Source organism: Homo sapiens, chromosome X (assembly GCF_000001405.40).
Source record: "Homo sapiens chromosome X, GRCh38.p14 Primary Assembly".
NCBI lineage: Eukaryota > Metazoa > Chordata > Mammalia > Primates > Hominidae > Homo > Homo sapiens.
In genome coordinates, this window is record NC_000023.11 from 111,754,835 (window position 1) to 111,762,001 (window position 7,167).

The window sequence follows — 7,167 nt, forward strand, 5'->3', positions numbered from 1 at the left end:
GCCATACTGCCCAAAGTAATTTATAGATTCAATGTTATTCCCATCAAGCTACCATTGACTTCCTTCACAGAATTAGAAAAAACTACTTTAAATTTCATATGGAACCAAAAAAGAGTCCATATAGCCAAGACAATCCCAAGCAAAAAGAACAAAGCTGGAGGCATCGTGCTATCTGACTTCAAACTATTTTACAAGGCCACAGTAACCAAAACAGCATGGTACTGGTACCAAAACAGGTATATAGACCAATAGGACCAATAGAACAGAACAGAGGACTCAGAAATAACACCACACATCTACAACCATCTGATCTTTGGCAAACCTGACAAAAACAAGGAATGGGGAAAGGATTCCCTATTTAATAAATGGTGCTGGGAAAACTGGCTAGCCATATGCAGAAAACTGAAACTGGACCCATTCCTTACATCTTATACAAAAATTAACTCAAGATGGATTAAAGACTTAAATGTAAGACCTAAAACCATAAAAACCCTAGAAGAAAACCTAGGCATTACCATTCAGGACATAGACATGGGCAAAAACTTCATGACTAAAACACCAAAAGCAATGGCAACAAAAGCAAAACTAAAATTGACAAGTGGGATCTAATTAAACTAAAGAGCTTCTGCACAGAAAAAGAACCTATCAGTGTGAACAGGCAACCTACAGAATGGGAGAAAAGTTTTGCAATCTATCCATCTGACAAAGGGCTAATATCCAGAATCTACAAGGAACTTAAATTTACAAGAAATAAACAACCCCATCAAAAAGTGGGCAAAGAATATGAACAGACACTTTTCAAAAGAAGACATTTATGTGGCCAACAAACAGGAAGAACTCATCACTGGTCATTAGAGAAATGCAAATCAAAAGCACAATGAGATACCATCTCATGCCAGTTAGAATGGCAATCATTAAAAAGTCAGGAAACAACAGATGCTGGAGAGGATGTGGAGAAATAGGAACACTTTTACACTGTTGGTTGGAGTGTAAATTAGTTCAACCATTGTGGAAGACAGTGTGGTAATTCCTCAAGGATCTAGAATGAGGAATACAATTTGATTTAGCAATCCCATTACTGGGTATATACCCAAAGGATTATAAATCATTTTATAAAGACACATGCACATGTATGTTTACTGCAGCACTATTCACAATGCCAAAGACTTGGAACCAACTCACATACCCATCAATGATAGACTGCATAAAGAAAATGTGGCACATACACACCATGGAATACTATGCAGCCATAAAAAAGAATGAGTTCATGTCCTTTGTAGGGACATGGATGAAGCTGGCAACCATTCTCAGCAAACTATCACAAGGACAGAAAACCAAACACCGCATGTTCTCACTCATAAGTGGGAGTTGAACAGTGAGAACATACGGGCACAGGGAGGTGAACATCACACATTGGGGCCTGTCGCGGGGTTGGGGGCAAAGGGAGGGAGAGCATTAGGACAAATACCTAATGTAGGTGACAGATTGATGGGTGTAGAAAACCACCATGGCACATGTATACCCATGTAACAAACCTGCATGTTCTGCATGTGTATCCCAAAACTTGTGTAATAAATATAAAAATAAAAATAGCTGCATTTTTAAAGCACTCATGTGTTCATAGATGCTTGCTCAACACTGTTTTTTCACCACTCCCCTGAGTTGTAGAGGCAGGTGGGTACTGACAAATGTCTTTATCAGTGAAAGGTGTCTCCGAGTTGAGGTGAGAGCTCTTTTATTTTAGTCTTTCAGGGATCACTTTCCCTCTGAAATACACTTGACTTAAAATGTAACAAGATGGCATATTTACTGAAAGGAATAATGCATCTTAAGATCTGTCAGATGATGATAAACTCTGTGCTCTCCTGGATAATGCTCAGATTAGTTCATATTCCCTGACACTGATTTCCCTGAAGCTTTAGACATGTCAGTGCCAAGAAAACTGTCTTCCCAAATAGTACACATCTATAAATTAAGAGTAATGGGGTGGGTTTTTGTTCTTTGAGACTATTTTTCCTAAATTTAGTTTCAAGAATTGATAAACCGCTTGCCCCTTCTGTTATGTTAGTTTATTATAGTCACATGTGGAAACTTTGTAATCTATTTCACTGAGGCATTTAAAAATATTCTGCCTTTTACATCATAGAATACCAGGAGATGCTGAATAGATATTTCAGTATTTTTCTTATTAGAAATCATAGTGTCCATTGTAGTACATTTTGAAAATACTGTGGTATAAAGAAAACTAAAATCACCTCTATGATCACTGTATACTTTATATATTTTCTTACAATTTTGTATTTTACAAACTATGGATTATGCTGTATAATTTTTAAATCTTTTAACAATACAAGCATTTTTTCTTTAAATATTTGACAGCATGATTTTCGTTGCCTGTATAGTATTTCATTACGGGTATATAATTTATCCAGTTCCCTGTTGTTAAATACTATGTGCAATGTTTTTTGCTTTTAAAAATACTATAAAAGACACCTTTGTATACAGGTCTTTTAGATTATTTCCTAAAAGAATTCTTAGGTTTAAATATGAGATACAAATGCTGCAAAAGATCCTAAAGTTCTAATAGAGAACAGACTGTCAAGTTTTTAGGTCAAAAAAGTCATTGCTACCTCACCTGAAAATCGTGGCCCAATTCTTATTTTTTTTTTTTTTTTGTCTGTGGGGAACTGTATTACATTAAGAATAGAGAAGAGTGAAGTTTCTTATTTTTTTGTTGCCCTTTCTTGCTCAAGTGCTATTACCACAGCTACTGGCACTCCATGGTCTATGTGCCACAGATGCAGCAGCAGCTTCATGTAGAGAATTATCCAGTCTATACTGAGCCACCTCTGGTAGATCAAACCGTTCCTCAATGCTACAGTGAGGTGAGGAGAGAAGATGGCATACAGGCGGAAGCATCAGCAAATGGTGAGTGTGTAATGAGATTGCCAGCAAGAAAGACAGTTGGATTTTATTGTGTGTAATTCAATAATAGCTTTCATATATTTCATCAGGTCCATGTACTACACCAGTGATTCTCAAAGCATGATATGTGGACCTCTTGTGGTCCCTAAGACTCTTTCAAGGGATTCATGAGGTCAGAAGTGTTCACAATAATACTAAGAGTTTATTTGCCCCTTTCACTGGCTTGCATTTTCATTGAGGACATAGAAACCAGTGGTGGGTAAAACTGCTGACACCTAAGCACTAGTTGGTACTGACCCCAGACTCTGCTAGTAATCAGTGTTTTTCTCACTGCCACACACCCATGGTACAAAAATGCCAATCTTATGTTTTTTTGTTTAATCAAAGACATTTTTACTAAATTTTTATCCTTGAATAGTTGTATTTTTCTTTGTGACAAAAATGGAACTACTTATAAAACACTTCTGCATACTAAATGAAGTATAATGATTAACTTAAGGAAAAAGACTTGTGCTATTAAGTTATGAGTTGTACTTGCTGACTTGAAAGAGGGATAAGCTATCATTATTCACACTTAGTTGATCTGGCCGGCATTTTCTTAAATGAACAAAGTGAGCCTGTCACTTTAGGATAAATAACTAGTAATATTTGTTGCCAAAGATACAATTTTAGCTTTCAAATAAAAATTAGAATTTTGGAAAACATGTATCTTCCACCATGAGCTTGACACCTTCCCACCAATTAAAACTCCTGTAATAAGATAAGTAGAGCTGAATGTAGTTTCTTAAATTGTATGAGGAAATGTGTCAACATTTGGAAGATCTGCATAACTCAGTGAAGGAAGAGTTTCCCAATTACCAATGCATGATATGACCAAGGTGTGATTTTTGTAACAGATCTTTCCAAGTGCAAGATAAAACAGTGGATTTTAATGTAACAGAGCATGAAAAATCCACATTGCTAGTGACCTTTGAGGAACTACCACTTATGTAGTTTGGGTGTAGCATCAAAGAATATCTACAATTATCTGAAAGGCTAGGTATTAAAATACTTCACTGAGCCAGGTGCGGTGGTTCACGCCTATAATCCCAGCACTTTGGGAGGCTGTGGCAGGTGGATCACCTGAGGTCAGGAGTTCGTACCTGACTTGCCAGGGTTGTTATAAGAACTAATTGGGACCTTATGTATAAGTATACTATTACCTGGTGCATATTAGGAATACTAATTTCTCTCTTCCTTTCCATTTTTAAAGCATATTACAGTGTCAATCTTTTTTTTTTGAATTTTGTGCAGTATACCTTTTATAGAGCTATTTTTAATTGTAGTTAACTATGAGGCAGTGGCAGTCTTAATTTCACAGAGTTAATCTAAGCCCAAGTAATGAATTTTTTTTTTTTTTTTTTGTCTAATGTGTATACTCATTATAGCAAGGTTAAAACAGCATTTATTTCTACTGGAACTGACTCATGGCAAAAGTGCTATGAAATTAAAATGTGATCTTAATGACATTCAGGAGATGACACTTTTAGGGTGTTCTTCAGAGCTATACTTTCAGGTATAGACCAGAATGTCTAGACACCTGAGTTTTTCATTGCTAAATGGTTATTCGGATGATGTATACTGTAAAACTATTGGATAACTCAATTGTGACCACCTCTTACAAGAATTTAATTAACTAGAAGGACTCTAAAGAATATTTATGTATTTAGCTTGCTGATACCTAAATCATCCCAGAAAGATAGCTGTCTGTACATTGAATAGATTTGACACATATATTTCACAGTTTTTTAATTTGGAAATTTTCATATTATCTTTACTCATTATTTGTATTTAAAGTGCTCCTGCTGCAATTGCTGTGATCTTTCTTATAGTTAGTTTTATTTTCACACATAAGAACATCCATTTATGTTGCATGGGGTTCTGTTTTGGTGAATTTTTGTATATAAAGTAGACTGTATACATCCTTTCTTTCAGATACTTTTCCGAATGCTGATTCTTCATCTGTCCCTCATGGAGCAGTCTATTATCCAGTAATGTCAGATCCCTATGGGCAGCCACCTTTGCCAGGTTTTGACTCCTGCCTTCCGGTTGTGCCAGATTATTCCTGTGTTCCCCCCTGGCATCCAGTTGGTACAGCATATGGTGGTTCTTCTCAAATTCATGGTGCTATAAATCCTGGGCCAATTGGCTGTATTGCTCCATCTCCCCCAGCTTCTCATTATGTACCTCAGGGTATGTAAGATCCAGCAGTATGAAGTATTCTTGCACTGCCATTTTCTTGCTGTTTTTGTTTTTAAAAAGTATTTTATGTTAGTGGTTAAATGATTTAGGTGATTAGTGTTTACTATTGTATTTGTCTTTAAAATTATTTTATCTTTTGATTTAAAATAGTACTTTAAAATTAAGGGGTATTATTTTGGGCTGTGACTAAGGAAATTGAGATGGATGTACAACTAGCCCCATATTGAGCATACTTCATTGTATTCAGCTGTTTTCCTGTCAGCCATTTGTCAGCTTTATATTAGCTGATGGTACCAATTGATAAAATGAATATAAAGTATTTCATTGGTTCAAAAATCACACATCATATTAAACCATGCAGAATTGGAGTAACTTCCACTTTTTTCTAGAAAGTAAAACCAAGAGCCTTTGCTTCTGGATAACTCACTTAATATTAAATTAAAGAGCTCTTCACGTTTCTTGAGAATTATCTGAAGCCAGTTGCATTCTGTGATATCAGTTTTGAAGGCACATGGTTCTCTGCTTTAGATTTATCCCATATGCTATTGTTTAATACTGGATGTATGTAAGTGTTTTACTGCACTGTATTGAATTGGTGTCTTTTGCACAGTTAGCAGTAAATAAAAATTAGCATTTAAAATTGCCAAAACGAGTGGGATTTTTTCTTTTTGCATTTTCATGTCAGCAAAGAGTACCGGACATTTGATTGTTTCAACATGTTTTTTCTCTGGCATTTTGGTTGCAAAAGAATGTGAATTTTTAGCATGAACTGGTGGGGAGTAGTTGCAGGGCCACTTGAGATGTTATTTAATCTAGAGTCATTGCAGCACATACTACCATATCTACGCCTTTTCTCCAGAAAATGTTCCTTTTATGTTGTATGTGTGTGTGTGTTTTTTTAAAGCATTTATAACCCTCTTATAGAACTTCAGACTTCTCATTATCCTATACTTTCAATAGTTGTAGGAGCCAAGGGAAAACTCCTTCACCCTCTAAAGGTTCACCAAAAACTCAGCTCACAAAAGGCAGATAAAGAGAAAGGGCGTACAAATTTTATTAATGTGTACATGGGAACCTTCAGAATGGAGACCCAAAAATACAGGGGAAATTGTCCATTTTTTATGCTTAGCTTCAATGAAGTATGGACAGCCATTAGAAATATCATTGGACAAAAAGGGTATGATCTGCTAATGGACTTGAGTAGGGGAAACCCAACAAGGCTTGTTTGTATTCTTGCCCTCTCTGAGCACACATTCCTTCCTTCTGGGTGTGGGACAGGATCCTCTCTGGAATAGGGGGTCTTATGACAGTCAAACCAGGTAAATCAGATAGTTTTTTATGACCAGTTTTTACACAGAAAGGTGGAGTAATATCTTTAGGTTTTAGAAAAGTTAGAGTAATATTTTTAGGTTTTATGGCTGGCTTTCAGGAAAAAGGGGTTCTGGTTTCTATGACCCACCTTGGGGAAGAGGGATTCTAGTTTCTATGGCTAGCTTTGGGGAAGAAGGAGACTGAGAGATAGGAGGGCAGGAGAAGGTCAGAGAAAAACTTGCTACTGAGGCCTTCATTCGGGGGTATTGTTTTCTGAGTCCAGACATTGTCACATCTTACCATTTTTGTTTTTAGACTTAATCTTGTATCTCTGAAGGCCTGGCTTGGCTTTGGCTTTGGCTTTGGCTTGCTGTGAGACACATTTCATCATCCTTTTTTGCCTTCTCCCTTTCATCTATCTGAAGACCACAAGATGTTCTGTATTGATCAGTTCTTCTCTGAGGGGCAAATCGTCCTGAATGCTTTGCTCTGTCTCACCTGACAAACAGCTATTTAAAAAGTGTTCTTTGGTTGCCACAAAACCTATTTATATCGCTTTCTTAAAAGGTTATTTTTGTGACTCAGTCTCTCCTTTCCCCCTGTGGCTACACCTTGGCCAAAAAGAATAATTTGAGACATCAGGGCTTGAAGTACTTGAACAGTTGAAGGTACTGGAGTGGAACATTGCAA

The 7,167-nt window shown here is 36.5% G+C and overlaps 1 protein-coding gene across 33 annotated transcripts in view; it reads left to right on the top strand.

Annotated features, from left to right (window-relative positions):
- ALG13 (ALG13 UDP-N-acetylglucosaminyltransferase subunit) overlaps positions 1-5,815 on the top strand; it is a 79,480-nt gene extending 73,665 nt beyond the window's left edge. For all 33 annotated transcript variants that reach the window (NR_148693.2, XM_011531031.2, NM_001257237.2 and 30 more), the window contains 2 exons: positions 2,754-2,928; positions 4,900-5,815. Coding sequence is in view for 32 of the 33 variants with exons in the window: in XM_011531031.2 (XP_011529333.1) it covers positions 2,754-2,928; positions 4,900-5,165 (441 nt within the window). In the remaining variant the exon portion in view is untranslated. The remainder of the gene's footprint in view (positions 1-2,753; positions 2,929-4,899) is intronic.